Source organism: Homo sapiens, chromosome 8 (genome assembly GCF_000001405.40).
Source record: "Homo sapiens chromosome 8, GRCh38.p14 Primary Assembly".
Taxonomy (NCBI): Eukaryota; Metazoa; Chordata; class Mammalia; order Primates; family Hominidae; genus Homo; species Homo sapiens.
The window spans coordinates 109,272,090-109,291,195 of NC_000008.11; the positions used below are offsets into that span (position 1 = coordinate 109,272,090).

Consider the following 19,106-nt stretch of genomic DNA (forward strand, 5'->3'; position numbering starts at 1 on the left):
ATCAACACAAAGGAATGCAGAATAGAGGAAAAGGCAAATATAAGAGTAAATGAAAGACCTGTTTTTCACATTTTTAATCTCTTTTAAAAGAGAATTACTGACTATAGCTAAAATAACAAGGTATTATTAATTTTAATAGAATATAAAATATAAAATGTAAGACAACAATAATACAAAGAATAGAGTGGAAAATATAAATTTCTTAAATTATAGATGATACAGTTTTTAAAGATAGTTGGTGATAAGTCAAATATGTAACCTCTAGAACCACTAAAACACACACACACACACACACACACGCAAATATCTACCCAAACAGAAACATTGAAATATAGTTAACAATATGCTTAAAGTAGACATAAATAAATTCATAAAATTCATAAATTCATAAAAGCAATTTTTAAATGTTCCCTTGCTTCAATGCAAGGGTCACTGTCTGGTCTTATATACCTCACAGAGTAACAGGATCACAATAATTAAGGAATAAATTATACAATATTTGCATATAGCAGAAATACAATTCTACAACTGACCAAATGTGTAAACATCTAGTTTGCTAAGATACAGAGATATGTTAATTCTCATGTTATTAAGAACTTAATGAAATGAACTGAGAGAATCTGAAACTAAATGGATGGGAGTTCTAGAAGATCTACATACTCAACATGTGTCCATGTCCCAGCTGGGATATGGAACCACCTAGTTGTGGCTGTTGCCTCTACTCTAAATATCAATGGGAACAATTATGGTTGCTGTGGCTGGCTGTAAAGGCACCGCCAACAATCTCCTGGTTAGTTGATGCCATTGTGCACAGTGACTCAAGGAGATATCTATGTCCAGCAGAATAGAGAAAGTACCCTATAGATTTCTCCTTCCCTTCCCCTTCCAATTATTCATACTTTAGAAGCAGAAAAAATTAAAAGTTCGGGACTATCAAGGCCACCAGTGCTTCACAGGACAAGATTAGAGAGACAAGGAAATTGCAGAGAAAAGGGTCAAACATGCTATACTGCTTTCCAAGGACCATTTGCTGATTTCTAAACTGAGTCGAAAAAGACAAGCGGAAAGCAGCAAATAAGGAGCTAAAAAGCTGAGTTTGGGGTATTAAAGTGCTTGGGAGTCAAAAATTAGACTTCAGAGTCCACACAGTAGGAGAAGACCTGGTAACCATCCTAGGCTTTCAGTTGAGATAAATGAAAAGTTTTGCCTTAGGTGTAAGAATAAACATGGAATAAATCAGCCATGTAAAAGACTGAAGCCCAGCATCAAATCAAATCAATCCCTATGGAATTAAGAAGGTAGGCAAAAATTTAGAGAATGCAGCTACAGTAGTGCTTAGAAGGATATGTACAACATTAAGTGCTTTCATTGGAACAGAAAGGTCAAAAATCAACTAAGTATCACCTTCAAAAATAGAAAAAAAGAGCAAAATATATCCCCGGTAAACAAAAGGAAGAACATAATAAATTTAACACAGAAAATAAGAAATGGAAAACTGAAAAACAAAGGCAATGGAAACAGATGCTCACATTAGACCTATATCTGTTAAAAGAAATGAAAAACATTAAAAACTAAGGCACCATAGTTAAGTGCCTTCCAAAAAAGCAAACTCAAGGTCCAGATTGTTTTACTGACAAATTCTACCAAACATTTTAAGACATAACACTAATTCTATACATTCTCTTCTAGAAATAGAAGAGAGAACACTTCCCTAATCATTTTACAAGGTTATTATCCCAGATACCCAAACTGGAAAAAGATGGCAAAAAACAAAACAACACAAAACAAAAAACCTATCCAATATTCCTCACAAATAGACATAAAAATCCCCAAGAAAATATGAGCAAATCAAATTCAGCAATATGTAAAAGGATAATACATCATGACCAAGACGGGCTTATCCCACCAATGCAGAAAATTCTATAATCATTCATGATAAAAACTCTCAGCACACTACAAATAGAAGAAAATTTCTTCAATGTAATAAAAAGAACCTATCCTTCTTAATGATAAAAGTCGATTATTTTCCCCAAGATCACAAATAAGGCAAGAATGTCTGCTTTTACCATTCGAGAGTTCTATATAGCTGTGGAGTAGACATTCTAACCACTGCAGTAAGGCAAGTATGAATAATTGAAAAACATAAAACTGCCTTCAGCTGCAGATGAGATTGTATATTTGTCTTCTCATAATCTAACAAACACACTGGTGTTCAGGCATAAATAACTTTCTCATAAACACTAACATTCAATTGAAACCATTGAGTTTAACAAGTAGTTAACTGCAATTATCTACAATCTCAAAACACATCTCCACTACTGTCACTATTATATCCCCAGAGCCTAATACAATAATACTTGCTGAATGAGCGAATATAAGGCAATGCAGCCTGCATGGCTTGTTGTAAACAGGGCTATGAAATCAAAGTTTTGCAGTCCTACATAAGAATTCCAGTGATTTCTGAAATTTTCAATTACTACTGGCAAACATGAAACTTAGTTTCTCTATTTAGCCATGTTTCCTTTTGATAGTGACATTCACTTTCAATATTCCAGTCCTTCTTTTCTATCTTAGGATGCAAGTAACATTACAGTATAAATAATTTTTGCACAGTCTTCCTCATCTCTATAATTCAAGATGGCAATAAACCAGACATCTTTCATATGCTGATATCATTGTTAGAAAACGAACACATAATTTCAAGTTCTGATGTACTGCTGTATTTGTTCACATTCTTAACATGATCTTACACGTCATGAGAGTGGGAATGTATTCAACCTCATGATTAAGTATTGTGTTGTCACTGTAATTATCACAATGAATTACATTATAAAGAAAAAATAACTATACTATATATGATACATATATCCTTGCAAAATTGTAAACTCACCTCAAAAATTTTAGGGATAAGTAGATTCTTAGCAAATAAATTGTAACATAATTTTTGTCCTACCAGCATTGGTCAGTTGATTCTCCTAAAGAATACATGTAGAGAGAGAGAGCGCACAATACATACGCACACATAAACAGATACAGGCAAACCCTCTATACAGTATGACCACACATATATGTATGTATTTACATAGTGTAAGAAATAAATATTAGAACTTAGGCCATATTCAAACATCACTCAGATCAGTAGTATCTGATATGTATCTTTTATATTAGGAAAAGCAAAATATTGTTTGAAAAGCATGGCATAATCTTCACATAACATATTTTTGGACCCTTGGAAAGTCACACTACTATTCCAACTACTTACCAGTTCTTCAGAGGTCAAATGCATCAAACGTTCAGCTATTGCAGCACACTGGGCTGAATCTCTTATAAGTTCCCCTTGTTTATCTCCAATTACTAGCTCTGGCCAGGTCAGTCCTTCATTCTTCTTAATCAAGGAAATCTCCAAGCTAGAAGTTTAAATGGGAAAAGTAATGTTACATTAAGCAATTATACAAATTATACAATCAGTAGCAAACATTGTTTGTTTCTATCTTCTATAGAAAGAACCCTCCGGTGTCCAGAGGATGGTTTACCAAAAATCTTGCTCATTTAAGTTTTGCATGTGATGGAAAACCTATAATCCAATGGCAAATAGTCCAGATTTAATAAAGAAAGAAAGTACCACTGGAAATGGTACATCAAATGGCCTGAAGAGAGGATTGCCTGGAAAGAGTCAAGTCATCCAGAAAGTACTGGTATGCAGTATGTTCCTGAACTTAATAGAAATACAAGAAGCATGGATCTATAAGACATCTGGGGAATGGTCGGGGGTGTGGGCATGTAAGCAAAGAGTAAAAGGGCTGTAATTAAAGGATAATTCTTTGTGTCTGGAATCAACAATTAACTTTATTTTCACAAACTAAGAGCCATAATATATGATTATTAACCTGAAGATCAAGCAGGTTAAATCAACGCAAATCTTAATTTTAAAATACAGATGTTAAATAACTGAAAAGTAGAAATAAGGAAAAAAATTAACTTTGGTAATACAGGGAAAAAAGATGTTAATGTGTTCTCTATTAACTTATTTAAAATCTAATTCTGTACATGTAAACAACTAAACAATTCCAGATGCACTTAAAATGGTCTGTCAGGGAACCCTGAGATCAAGGACTGATGCAGCAGGAAAGGGAAAGAGAGCAGAGTCAAGGCAGACTACGGACATAGGAGAAGAAGTAACTTGTCCCATGTTCCTCTGGAATAGGAAGGAAAACCCAAGTAAGATGCTTTGGGAGCACCCACTGCTATAACAGAAAAGGGGAGTGGTAATAGCTATTCCACAACAAAGCAACCTTTTCCATGTGCCATCTTTCGTACACATGTACCATATTAGCTCATGCCCTGGAACACAACTGCAAGAATACAATAATAACTATTATAGTTATCAAATAGGACACGCAAACTTACCAGCTGTTCTTTTTCAAGACTGTTACAATCACTACCTTATGAATTACAGCATTTAACATTTTTCTGAAACTACCTATTTTAAGAGACTATACAAAATAATAATATGAGTACTTATAATTAGCACTGAAAATTACTCCCACAATAAAAGCCCAGATTTAGTTACATCTTTTCTTTTTTTGAGACAGAGTCTCACTCTCTTGCCCAGGCTGCAGTGCAATGGCACAATCTCTCTTACTGCAACCTCCAACTCCCGGGTTCAAGTGACTCTCGTGCCTCAGCCTCCCAAGTAAGTAGCTGGGATTACAGGCCACGCCATCATGCCCACCTGGCTAATATTTGTATTTTTAGTAGAGACAGGGTTTTGTCATGTTGGCCAGGCTGATCTTAAACTCCTGGCCTCAAGTGATCTGCCTGCCTTGGTCTCCCAAAGTGCTAGGATTATAGGTGTGAGCCACCGTGCCCAGCCCCCAGACTGAGTTACATTTTCTAAGGATAAAGGTAATCTTGATAATAATGATGATGATAATAATAGTAATAATGACCATAGCTTATACTTACCTATATGTCAGGTGCTGTCTTAAGCACTTTACATGTTTTAACTCATTGGTTACAACAACCAAATAAAGTACTGTAAATATTATTATCATCACCATTTTACAAGTAAGAAAAAAAAGTACTGAGGTTAAGCAACTTGCCAAGGTCACAAGCTATTTAAACAGTCTGGCTCTAAGTCCATGTTCTTCACTACTGCACTATTCTGCCTCTCTGAAAAAATATATGTAAATAACTATTAAAGAACACTTACCCAGTGAACTGTTCTTAGTTGCTACCTAAAGAGGTCTGAAAGAGTTGATACAATCTGTTATAATTTCCAAACCATCATTAATTTGCACAGTTAATCAGTGCACCCTTCTTCTAAGACTGCATTTGTACGTTTTAAAACTAGTATTGTATGCTACCATCCAAGCAAAAAAAAAACCCCAAACAATGCCAAATATAATAAACTACAGATTAGTTAAAAAAATCTTTCCAAAGTGAGACAACAGTAACTTTTGAAAACGAGAGGTACGAATAATTTACTCAAGTACAGAAAATCGTGTTTTTAAAACAACAATACCACCTACGCTACATTGTAGTTATCTTTTTTAACACAAAATAATAATCAAACACCTCAAATTTAATGGAAAAATAATACTGATCTATGTTGATGCATTGAATGCTGAAACTACTTACATGAAGTCAAGCTATTCCCCCAGACCTTTGCTGGGTTACTGCTTGATGACTTACATTTAACAATATGTTCTAGTTGGCTTGCCAATTTGTAAATGTGACTCACATACACATAAACATAATTAAATGGAGTATGTGGAGATACAAAATACTTTTAAAAGAAACTTTCAAGCAATTATTTTTGATATATTAAAAAGTGTAACAAAATCACCAAATGTCTTCATTAATAAAATGTAAGATACCTTTTACAACTTCAAACTTTCTATGAGCTAGATATATTTTTCTTGGATGCTCATGATTTAGACTTGTATCAGACTCACATGGATCATATACTACTAATTAAGAACTATACTTTGTGTAAAAACATCTAAGTTATCCTCTATGTAACATCAACTTAAAGCACAAGATTTAGGTTGTATTTTAAATCAACCATTTCTCATTTCTGACCAAATTTGACTATTTAAAAAATTAACTGCCTAACTCTATTCATTAATCCATCACTGAATTTAATAATTACTAAGACTTGATTTAAAATAAAAGAAAGTAATTTTAGTAATCCAAATAATTGGGGAAAAAACTGCCTGGAATAATAGATTTGCAAAATGGCACAGTTGTGGGGGGCAAAGGATTATAATTTTAAAAGACACTTAACTTTATCTTTTTTTAAAAAGACACAGTTTTGCTCCTTTAATTGAGGTGTAATTTATAAATAAAATTCACAGGTTTTAAGTGTAGAATTTACTGATTTTGACAAATGCATACACCTTTGTAACCCAATGAGGATACTGAATTATTTCCACCATACAGGCAGTTCCCTTGGCCTTTCTTCAGTCAATCTCCCTACACCCTAGAGATAACAAGTGTTCTGATTTGTATCACCATAGATTAGTTTTGCCAGTTCTAGAACTCCATATGTGGAATCATACAGTATGATTTTTTGTCTTTGGCTTCTTTCACTCCACATGTTTTTAATTCATTCATATTGCTTTTTATTTATTGCTAGCACTTTATTACAGAGTAACATTCCATTGTATGAATATACCACACGTACTTATCCATTCACCTTTTCAGTAACACTAGAGATATTTCTGGCTTTTATAAGTATGCCTGCTATGAATATATGTTTGCAAATTTGTTTTGGCTTTGTTTTGTTTTTTAACATATATTTTCAGTTGGGCATGGTGGCTCACACCTGTAATCCTAGCACTTTGGGAGGTCGAAGCAGGCAGATCGCTTGAGGTCAGGAGTTCGAGACCAGTCTGAGCAACATGGCAAAACCCCATCTCTACAAAAAATACAAAAATTAGCTGAGTGACTGTGCCACTGCACTCCATCCTGGGCAACAGAGTGAGACCCTGTCTCAGAAAAACAAAAAATTATATACATTCATTTATTTTGGTTAAACATCAAGGAGTAGAATTGTTAAGATTAAAAATAGGTATATGTTTAACTTGATATGAAACTGCTAAACAGTCTGCCAAAGTGATTGTATTATTATTTTACACTCGTACCAGATATGAATGAGTTGCTGGTGCCCCACATCCTTGCCAACGTTTGATACTGTCAGTCTTCAAAGTTTTAGTCATGTATTGGTGTCTCACTCTAGTTTTAATTTTCCTAATGTCTAATGATAATTACCTTTTGATGTGCTTACTAGCTGTTCATCTATCTTCTATTGTGACATGTCTATTCAAATAATTTGACCATTTAAAAAATTGGCTTATTATGAATTTGTAAGGCTTCCTTATACACTAAGAATGAAAGTCCTTTGGTTTAAGATGAATACTGTGAATATTTTTTCCCAGTTCATGGCTTACCTTTTTGTTCTCTTAATGGTATCTTTAGAAGAACAAAAATTTTTAATTTTGATATGCAGAAAATGTCTGTTTTGATGAAGTCTAACTTATGTATTTCTTTCTTTTTTTTTTGAGACGTAGTTTCACTCTTATTGCCCAGGGCCGGAAAGCAATGGCCTGGTCTCGGAAACCTCCGCCTCCCGGGTTCAAGTAGTTCTCCTGTCTCAGCCTCCCAAGTAGCTGGGATTACAGGCACCCGCCACCACGCCCAGCTAATTTTTGTGTTTTTAGTTGAGACGGGGTTTCACCATGTTGGTCAGGCTGGTCTCGAACTCCTGACCTCAGGCAATCCACCCGCCTCAGCCTCCCAAAGTGCTGGGATTACAGGCATGAGCCACTGTGCCTGGCCACTTATGTATTTCTTTTATGGCTTTGTGTCCTGAACACACAGTTCAAAAAACAAATGTAAATGGAGAATTTACATAAGAAAAAATTACTACAATTTACAAAGAAATATTAATTATTCCACTTTTAGAAATTTATCCTTCATATATATTTCTACACATGTGAAATAATATGTATATAAACAGAAGTTATTGAAAACAACCTAAATTAACACAATAGAGGATTAATTGTCTAAAATGATGGTGCAGTTGATAGAATAAAATACCGTGATGTCATAAAAGAGAATTTAATAATTTTTATATATTCATTATGGAAAGATCCCTAAGATTTATCATTGCAAGTGAACAAAAGCAAGATGTATAATTGTGTAAAGTATGTGTCAAAAAACTTTTTTATTGTTGTTAGAGACAGGGTTTTCTCTTCTTGCCTAGGCTGGTCACAAACTCCTGGCCTCAAGCAATCCTCCTACCTCAGCATCCCAAATGTTGGGATTACAGGCGTGAGCCACTGCAGCTAGCCGCCAAAAGTAGTTTTCCTTAAAGAAAAGGAAAAAGTATGTGTCATGCTTGAATGTATGTAAAATGTAACAACACTGATTGTGAGGAGTGGGAGGATGGGTGACCCATAGGCTTGTGTTGGAGGCAGACTTCTCACTCTACATCCTTTTGTATATTTAAAATTTTAAAGAATGGAAATATATTATCAAGCCAGCAAACTAAAGTTAAAAAAATTATTTCTATTAAAAAGTTTGAAAAAGTGCAATTTAAAATAGCCATTTTCACCTATGATTATTATTGTATCCAGAGCTGGTAAAACAAAGCACTACCATATTCTCCAAGTGATAGCTATGCTACTATCTTTAATTTCAACTAGAAATATGCTCTTTGACACAGTAATTCTATTTTTAATATATCTTAAGAAAAGTAACCAGCAATACAGACAGAACTATTGTATTAATCTCTGATGTAACCACTGTGGAAAGAGTAAAAAGAAAAGAAAAAAAGATAATAGAATATTAAAGTAAAATTAAAAAAAAATACCTATTACTCTCTTTAATTATCCATGTACTGCTTTCATGATCAATAGATGAATAGAGTTTTCCTTCTAAAAACTGGTGATCCTTCAGTACAATGTTGATGTGATCAGGCAAAAACTGTATTTGAATGTCCTCCTTAGTACTGTCTTCTGGAAGCCGTATGGTTACTGTCAAATCATCTTCAGTCTGTTGCCAGTAATACAGAGGTTCTATTGGGAAAAGAAAAATGCATCATGTAATAAAAAATTAGAGAAAGCATACACACACACAAAACCTATCTAAAAGAATTTTAGTATATTTACTAGTGATCATCTCACAAAACGTAATTATAAACAAACATGCACAGATCTCTTTGAGGAATTTTCACTCAAAGATTTGCAGCAATTAACATGAAATTTTCCTCTTCCAGACTTACCTGATGCTTGAGGAGATAAAGCACTCATAAAATACTAATGATAGCAATCCTTTATCCTCATTTCTTCCCTCTCTCCCTCCCTTCCTCCCTCTTTCACTCCTTCTTTCCTTTAAACAAACACACACACACACAGAGTGAATCCCTAGTTCAAAAGAACATAAAATATGTTACCCAGAAAAGCTAGCAAAGCAGTTACATAATAATATCTCAATGGATAGCTTCTGCCAGATAATGGGAATGGGAGGATGTGCAAAATCACATGCACTTTTAGTATAAATTAAAGGCCATACTACCCCAACCCTTCCTGTGCATACATCACAGTGCAGCCAGGCCCTATCCACTCCATTTCTAAGCAGACCTCCAGGCATTCAAAGCACCTTGCCCAGATTGCAGCCTGAACTGTCCCACCTTTCCTATTCATAGATCTGGTGTTGGGGGGCCCTCTCTGCTTCACACCCAGGTGGACTTTCAGGCATTCAAAGCACCTGTTTGCCTGTTTCAACAGCCTGAGTTAACCTACATCTCCTGTGCAGAGATTTTCATACAGAGGGGCCCTCCCTGCTCCATGCCTAGGCAGAGCTCCAGGCACCTGGAGCTCTCCTAGATTAGGAGCTCATGCCATCCCCCGAACCCTGTCCAGAGAACTTGGGGCTGGGAGGGTTTCTTAGCTCCACACTTAGGTATGCCTCTGGGCATTTAGTGGCTGCCAGGTAGATTCTCCCTCAGCGCTGGTGTCCACACCTGCCACTGGGGGATCTGTAGGCAGATCTGCCCAGTCTCGTCCTGCCCATCTTGGCCCCTACTCCCCGGGGCTGAGCAGGGAGCTCAGACAACTGTGCAATCCAAGAATCAGCCCATTGCCTGAGGCAATAGAGAGTTCTCCCAGTAAACAAGGATTAAGTATATACCCTGCTGCACTGGCTGCAATTGGCTGTTACTAACAAGCACCATCTACTGGCTTGTAGGTTAAACTGCATAGCCCAATATACAACCTGCCAACAGAAGTGCATAGGGCTATGGAAGCAAAGCCCAAAGACCCTACTCTGCATTCTCTATAGTCACACCCCCTAGAGAGGGAAAGAGAAAGAAAACAAACAAACAAACAAACAAAAATAATATTATAAGGAAAGAAAGAAAACTAAAAAATCCTATCTGCACAAAAATATTATAAAAATTTGAAGTGCCAGAATCTCTAGATAAGAAACCAGAAAATCAAACACCACATGTTCTCACTCATAAGTGGGAGTTGAACAATGAGAACTCATGGATACAGGGAGGGGAACATCACACACCGGGGTTGTCGGGGGGTGGGGGGCTAGGGGAGGGATAGCATTAGGAGAAATACCTAATGTAGATGGCGGGTTGATGAGTGCAGCAAATCACTATGGCACGTGTATACCTATGTAACAAACCTGCACGTTCTGCACATGTATCCCAGAACTTAAAAGTACAATAAAAAAATTCCAAAAAAAAAAAGAAACCAGTGCAAGAATTCTGGCACCATAAAAAAAATCTGAATGTAGTGACATGACAAAAAATATCACTAGCTTTCTAGAAATGGTCCTTAACCAAAATAGACACTCAGAAAAAAGACACAAAGAATTCAAAGCATGGATTGCAAGGAAGCTCAACAAGATCTAAGACAAAATTGAAAATCAATACAAAGAAACTTCTAAAGCAATCCAAGAAATGAAGGAAGAGATAAACATCTTTAAAAGAAATCAGTACAAACTTCTGGAATTGAAAAACTCACTTATGGAATTTCCAAATACAATTGAAAGCTTTATCAACAGACTGAACTGAGCAGAAGAAAGAATTCCAGAACTTGAAGGCCAGTCTTTCAAACTAGTCCAGCTAGACAAAAATAAAGAAAAAAGAATTTTAAAAAAATGAACAAAGTCTCTGAGAAATATGAAATCATGTAAAGTAACCAACCCTATTAACTACTGGCATTCCAGAGAAGAAACACTAAACAAACTGAAAAACATGTTTGAGGGAATAATTCAGAAAATTTCCCTAATCCTGCTAGAGAGGTAGACATTCAGGTATAAGAAATCCAGAACCCCTGAGAAATACTATACAAAATGAAGATCACCAAGGCATATAGCACTAGACTGTCCAAGGTCAACACTAAAGAAAAAACCTTAAAGGCACCTAAAGAAAAGAGATTACATAGGGGAACCCCATTAGGCTAACAGCAGACTTCTCAGCAGAAACCTCACAAGCCAGGAGAGATTGAGAGCTATTTGCAGAATTTTTCAAGAAATTCCACCCAAGAATTTCATATCCCACTAAACTATAAGCTTCATAAGTGAAAGAGAAACAAAATCTTTTCCAGACAAGCAAGCACTAAGACAATCAGTTACCACTATACCAGCCTTAACAAGAGATCTTTAAGGAAGTTCTAAACAGGGAAACAAAAGAACAGTATCTGCTACCACAAAAACACAAGGACAGAGCCATAGTCCCTGTAAAGCAACTATACAATAGAAACTACAAAGCAATCAGTAACAACTTCATGATAGAATCAAAACTTCACATAACAATATTAACCTTAAATGTAAATGATCAAAACATCCCACTTGAAAGGCACAGAGTAGAAAGCTGGATTAAAAAAAAAAAAAAAAAACAAAACAAAAACAAGGCCCATCGGCATTCTACAAGAGACCCATCTAACACATAATGACACCCACAGGCTCAAAGTAAAGGGCTGGAAAAAAACTTGCTATGCAAATGGAAAACAGAAAGCGCAGGAGTCACAATTCTTACCTCAGATAAAACAGACTTTAAACCAACAAAGGTAAAAAAGGACAAAGGGCATTACATAATAATAAAGGGTTCAATTCAATGAGAAGACTGAACTATCCCAAATATATATGTGCTCAACATTGGAGCACCCTGATACATAAAAACAAGTACTTCTAGACCTATGGAAAGACTTAGCCACAAGACAATAGTGGGGAACTTCAACATACCACTCACAGCATCACACAGATCATCAAGGTAGAAAACTAAAGAAAAAAAGTATGGACTTAAATTTGACACTTAATCTAACAGACATCTACAGAATACCCCACCCATCAACCACAGAATATAAATCCTACTCATCTGCACACAGAACATACTCCAAGATCACTCACACACTCAGCCATAAAGCAAGTCTCAATAAATTATAAAAAATGAAATCATACCAATCATACTCTAAGATCACAGTGGAATAAAAATAGAAATCAATACCAAGAAGATCTCTCAAAAACCACACAGTATCATGGAAATTATCTGGGATGCAGCAAAAGCAGTGTTAAGAGGAAAGTGCTATGTATCTACCTCAAAAAGTAAGAAAAGTCTCAAATTAATGATCTAATATCACACCCAGAAGAACAAGAAAAAAAAACAAATTAACACCAAAGCTAGCAAAAGAAAAGAAATAACTAAAATCAGAGCAAAACTGAATGAAATTGAGACCCAAATATGCAAACAATGAATCCATGAAACCAAAAGTTGGTTTTTTTTTGAAAGGATAAACAAGATCAATAGGCTGTTAGCTAGATTAACAAAAAAAGAGAAGATGCAAATAAACACAATCAGAAATGAAAAGGTAACATTACAACCAATTCCACAGAAATACAAAAAAAAAACCCAGAGACTATTATGAAGCCCTGTATCACACAAACTAGAAAATCCAGAGAAAATGGATAAATTCCTAGAAACACAATCTCCCAAGACTGAATCAGAAAGCAACTGAAACCTTGAACAGACCAATATCAAGTTCCAAAATTCAATCAGTAATAAAAAAATCTATCAACCAAAGAAAGCCCTGGACAGATGGATTCACATCCAAACTCTACTAGACATACAAGGAAAAGCCGGTACCAATTCTACTGAAACTATTCCAAAAAAATCGAGAAGGAGGAACTCCCTCCCTAACTCACTCTATGAAGGCAGCATAACCTTGATACCAAAACCTGGCAAAGACACACACAAAAAAACTACAGGCCAATATCCCCGATGAACATACATGTAAAAATCTTCATCAAAATACTGGCAAGCTGAATCCAACAGCACATCAAAAATTTAATTGACCATGATCAAGTAAGCTTCATTCCTGGGGAAGCAAGGTTAGTTTAACATATGCAAATCAATAAATGTGATTCACTACATAAACAGAATTAAAAACAAAAATCATATGATCACCTCAATAGATGAAGAACAAGTATTCAGTAAAATCCAACATCCCTTCACTATACAAATCCTTAAGAAACTAGGCATCAAAGGAACACACTTCAAAATAACAAGAGCCATCTATGACAAACTCACTGCCAACATCATACTGAACAGGCAAAAACGAAGCATTCCTCTTGAGAACTGAAACAAGAAAAGCATGCTTACTCTTACTGCTCCTATTCAACATAGTCCTGGAAGTACTAACCAGAGCAATCAGGCAAAAGAAATAAATAAAAGGTATCCAATTAGGAAAAGTCAAACTTTGCAGATGACATAATTCTATACCTAGAAAACCCTAAAGATTCCACCAAAAGGCTCCTGGAACTGACAAATGGCTTCAGTAAAGTTTCAGAATACAAAATCAATGTATGAAAATCAGTAGCATTTCTACAAACCAATAATGTTCAAGCTGAGAGCCAAATCAAGAACACAATCCCATTTACTGTAGCTGCCAATAATAATAATAATAATAAAATACCTAGGAATTCATCTAACAAGGAGGTGAAAGATCTCTACAAGGAGAATTACACAGCACTGCTGAAAGAAATAACAGATGACAGACAACTGGAAAGACATTCCAAGCTAATAGGTTGGAATAATCAATATCATTAAAATGTCCATACTGCTCAAAACAAACTACAGAGTAAATGCTACTCCTATCAAACTACCAATGTCATTTTTCACAGAACTAGAAAACACTATTCTAAAATTCGTACGGATCCAAAAAAGAGCCCAAATAGCCAAAGCCATCCTAAGCAAAAAGAACAAAGCCAGAGGCATCACACTGACTTCAGAGTATACTACAGGGCTACAGTAACCAAAAAAAGTACAAAAACAGATACACAGACCAGTGGACCAAGAAATAAAGCCATACACCTATACCCATCTGACAATCTTTGATAAAGGCAGCAAAAACAAGCAATAGGGAAAGGAGTCCCTATTCAATAAGGGTGCTGGGATAGCTGGCTAGCCATATGCAGAAAAATGAAACTGGTCCCCTACCTCTCACCATATACAAAAATTAACTCAAGATGAACTGAAGATTTAAATGTAAGACCTCAAACTGTAAGAATCTTAGAAGAAAACCTAGGAAACACCATTGTGGACACTGGCCTTGAGAATGAATTATGACTAAGTACTCAAAAGGAATTTCAACAACAAAAAAATTGACAAATGGTACCTAATTAAATGAAAGAGTTCCTCCACAGCAAAAGAAACTATGAGTAAACAAACTATAGAATCAGAGAAAATATTTGCAACTACGCACCCAACAGAAGTCTAATATCAAGGCTCTATAAGGAACTTAAACAAATGAACAAGCACAAAACAAATAACTCCATTAAACAATGGGCAAAAGACATGAACAGCACTTCGCAAAACAAGACATACAAATGGCCAACACACATGAAAAAATACTCCACATCACTAATCATTAGCACTAATTATCAGAGATTTGCACTTGCAAATCAAAACTACAAGGAGAATATCATCTCACACCAGTCAGAATGGCTATTAATAAAAAGTCAAAAAACAACACATGCTGATAAGGCTGTGGAGAAAAGGGAATGATGATACACTATTGGTGGGAATGTCAATTAATTCAGCCCCTGTGGAAAGCAGTTTGGAGATTTCTCAAAGAACTTAAAACAGAACTACAATTCAACCCAGTAATCTCAATAGTGGGTATATATATAAAAAATAAATAATTTTTTTGCCATAAAGACACGTGTGCTAGTATGTTCATCACAGCACTATTCACCACAGTAAAGACATGGAATCAACATAGGTGCCCATCAACAGTGGACTGAATAAAAACAATGTGGCACATATACACACCATGGAATACTACACAGCCAGGTAAAAGAACAAAATCATGTCCTTTGCAGCAACATGAATGTAGCAAGTGGCCATTATCCTATGCAGATTAGTGCAGGAACAGAAAACCAAATACCACATGACCTCACTTATAAGTGTGAGCTAAACACTGGGTACTCATGGACATAAAGATGGCAACAACATACAATAGGGACTACTAGAGGGGGTAGAAAGGGTTGAAAAAGTAACTGTTGGGTGCTATGCTCAGTACCTGGGTGACAGGATCATTCGTACTCCAAATCTAAGCACCATGCAATACAACCAGGTAAAAGAACATTGACATGTACCCCGTGAATATAAAATAGAAGTTGAAATTTTAAAAATGTATTAATTAATGAAAGGCCATGGATGTAGACTAAAGGTAAAGTCACAGTTTTTTAATCACCTCCCCATTGTATACATTGTTGAATGTATACAAACACCTAAATAATTCTCTCAATTACTGGTTGCTTTGAGTACCTTTCTATGCCTTTAGAGATTGTGTTTTAGGTCTTTAAAAACATGTTATTAAAATGCCAAATAGCCAATAGATAATACCAGTCTTCTTGAAGTTAACAGAAAAGGAAACCAGTATATATATTAATATTCAGAAAGTATTACAAATGCCAATCAATGACCAAACTACCCATAATTTTTAAAAATTACAACACTTTTCCTTTATTACTGTGAAAATCCTATGACAAAATAAACAATGAATTTGGAGGGAACTCAAGATACAGCATGAGATGTCATCAAGGAAAACAATACCTGTGGTAGTGATTTAAACACATGATGTGTCCCACTTAGGCTTCAATCTGTCTTGGAACTGCATGGTTCCAAGTTATCTGGGCAGAACGGTTCCAAAGATTAAGGCAAGCTTTCTATTCCCTCGAGATTGCTTACCAAAGGAATTCTAAAGACACATGATCTAGAGAAATAAACAGCTATTCTGGCTAAGCTTTGGATGAGGTTAGCATTATAATTAGACAGAATAGTAACATTTATTCAGGAAAGGATCTTAGAGATAATCTAACAAAAAACGAATCCCACATGAGAAAACCAAGGTATTAAAAGTCTAAAGAAAAGGCCTACTAAGCACAACTTTTTGTATTCAGAGGTGCATATATTTATAAACCTGTGGAAAATATTTTTCAATTATATATTACATTAATATTCATTTCTTAAAGCATCCAAAAATAGTAAACCTAGGTTGCTCTGCTTATGGAGTAGCCATTCTTTTATTTCTTTACTTTCTTAATCAACGTGTTTTCACTTAAAAACAAAAAGGTAAAACTAATTTTTTAAAATAACTTGTTTAACAAAAAAGGGAGATTCAAAGAATAATATGTAGAATTGTTAAATATTATAAAAATCTCTGTTAAATAAAATATACTATTCTCTGGCTATGAACATCAGAAATATGAACAGTAATTATTACAGAGGAATGTTCTCTTGAACAGCTTTAAAAGAATGTCTGTTCTTTATATACAAATATAAATTTCTTCTGAAATTTCTTGTTAGTCTTTTCTTTTTTTTTTTTTGAGACAGTCTCGCTGTTGCCCAAGCTGGAGTGCAGTGGCACAATCCTGGCTCACAACAACCTCTGCCTCCTGGGTTCAAGTGATTCTCCTGCCTCAGCCTCCCAAGTAGCTGGCACTACAGGCACCCACCACCACATCCGGATTTTTTTTTGTATTTTTAGTAGAGACGGGGTTTCATCGTGTCAGCCAGGATGGTCTCGATCTCCTGACCTTTTGATCCGCCCACCTAGGCCTCCCAAAGTGCTGGGATTACAGGCGTGAGCTGCCGTGCCTGGCCAGTCTTTTCATGCTAAAACATAACCTTCATTCATTCATTCAACATTAATAAAATTATGTGATTCTGCCCTCAAGGAACTTACTTTCAGTTTAGTATAAAAGGTAAGAACAGGTACATTAGCTTAACTTATTTTTAAAAATTAGTATCTTCAATATTACACTATTAATACCATCAATACTAATAGCAAATAGACATTTATTTGATAACTATTTATTAAGCACCTAATCAAGGAAGCTAATAAACGATTTTTTAAAAAAACATTTTTGGTAATAACAAAATGATCAAATTAAACCAGTTCATTCACACTATTAAGGTGGTATACCTTATAAAAGACTTCTGGAAAATACATGAGAAAATAAAGAAAAAATTATGCATCTATCTTGCCCTTGTAGAACTATTAACCTAACTGGGAAAATAAAAGACATAAATATATGTTTATGAAAATACCAATAAGCTCTATTAAGAATAAAAATTACCTTTGATTTTCTCTGATATGTCTTCATCCATATTTTCTTCAAGATCTTGACCAGCCTGAACAAATGTTAAAGACTTGTAGGATACAATCATTAGACCATTTCCATCAGGCTCAATAGCAGCATAATGTGGCACTGACTTTCCACGGAGAATATCACGCTTAATAATTTCATATTTTTTATTATCTGTAAGAAAAGTATTTCAGAACAAAACATTACAAATAAAAACTATTATCAAAATATTCTGATATTTAAAAATTGATTTTAATTATAATTAAATAATTTGAATGTATTATTAAAAGGTACACTATTAAGAGTCTTTTCATAAGGATAAACAATTTACAATCTAATTTTCCGTAAATAAGTCCCTATTTTAAAATATTGGGTCTGGTGAAATTTGTTCCCGATTGTCCTGTCCAATGTGGTAGTCACTGGCCAGAAGTATCTACTTAAAATTAAGTAAAATTTAAATTCCTCAGTCATACTAGCCACATTTTAATTGCTCAATAGCCACACATGGCTAGTAGCTACTGCAGTGAATGGTACACATATAAAACATGTCCATCTTGGAGAAATCTCTTATTAGACAGCAGTACCCCAGAACTCCAACATGACCGGCTTACTTGGAATAACAGCTTCTGTATGACCTACCTCTCCTTGACTAAAGCCTGTCTGCCTTCTCAGCAGGTATGTGATAAGTTTCTTCTGAAAAGTGACAAATTGAGGACAAGGGGAAACATGCAGTGTGGTCTATTTTTCTGCCTGCTCTAACTCCCGATAAGGGGCATTTTAACAATGAAATAAATTTATAGCAGAAATGATTTTTTTTACACAAGACATTTATCTATATGCTTATAATTAAACATAAATTAGTGCTACTTTTAAGATATAAACAATTAACTGTATTCCAAAAGTTTCTGACAAATTAAACTTATTTTCCTATAAAGACAGTAATTTTTTGCTTTAAAAAGTACTCAAACATTTTAGCTGACTCCATACTTTTACCTATACTGTTACTCTTTAAGTGGGTTATACTTGTAGGCTTCATACTGAGTAGTCGAAAATCACAACTTAATGTCATATTATTATGAGTTTTTACATAATAATACCATCTGTTCTAAAATATCTCATTGTTTTTACTCAAAATCCTCACCTACATTCACACATTCAGTTCACACATATTTAAGAACAGGCTTGTAATTTAATGAATGAACAAAACTCCTACACTTCCCCTATAGATACATGCAGGGCCAAAAGTCCTACTTGACTTTAAAGATCCAAACACCGACATCACATATTTATAGCGTGGCCTTTCCCAGCATGCATGGGACAGAAAAGAATAGGAAGCCTCAAAAACCGGATTCCGTGGTTAAATATGTGGAGAAATGCTAGGTTAAAATTAAATGTAAATTGTTTTTTGTTTGTTTGAGACAGGGTCTTACCCTGTT

General features: G+C 35.0%; 1 protein-coding gene across 3 annotated transcripts in view; it reads right to left on the minus strand.

The window, feature by feature from the left end:
- Positions 1-19,106, minus strand: part of NUDCD1 (NudC domain containing 1) — a 93,169-nt gene that overhangs the window by 31,171 nt on the left and 42,892 nt on the right. For all 3 annotated transcript variants that reach the window (NM_032869.4, NM_001128211.2, XM_047422330.1), the window contains exons 5-7: positions 17,662-17,844; positions 8,879-9,083; positions 3,263-3,407 (exon numbers count right to left, since the gene is read on the minus strand). In NM_032869.4, coding sequence (NP_116258.2) covers positions 3,263-3,407; positions 8,879-9,083; positions 17,662-17,844 — 533 coding nt within the window. The remainder of the gene's footprint in view (positions 1-3,262; positions 3,408-8,878; positions 9,084-17,661; positions 17,845-19,106) is intronic.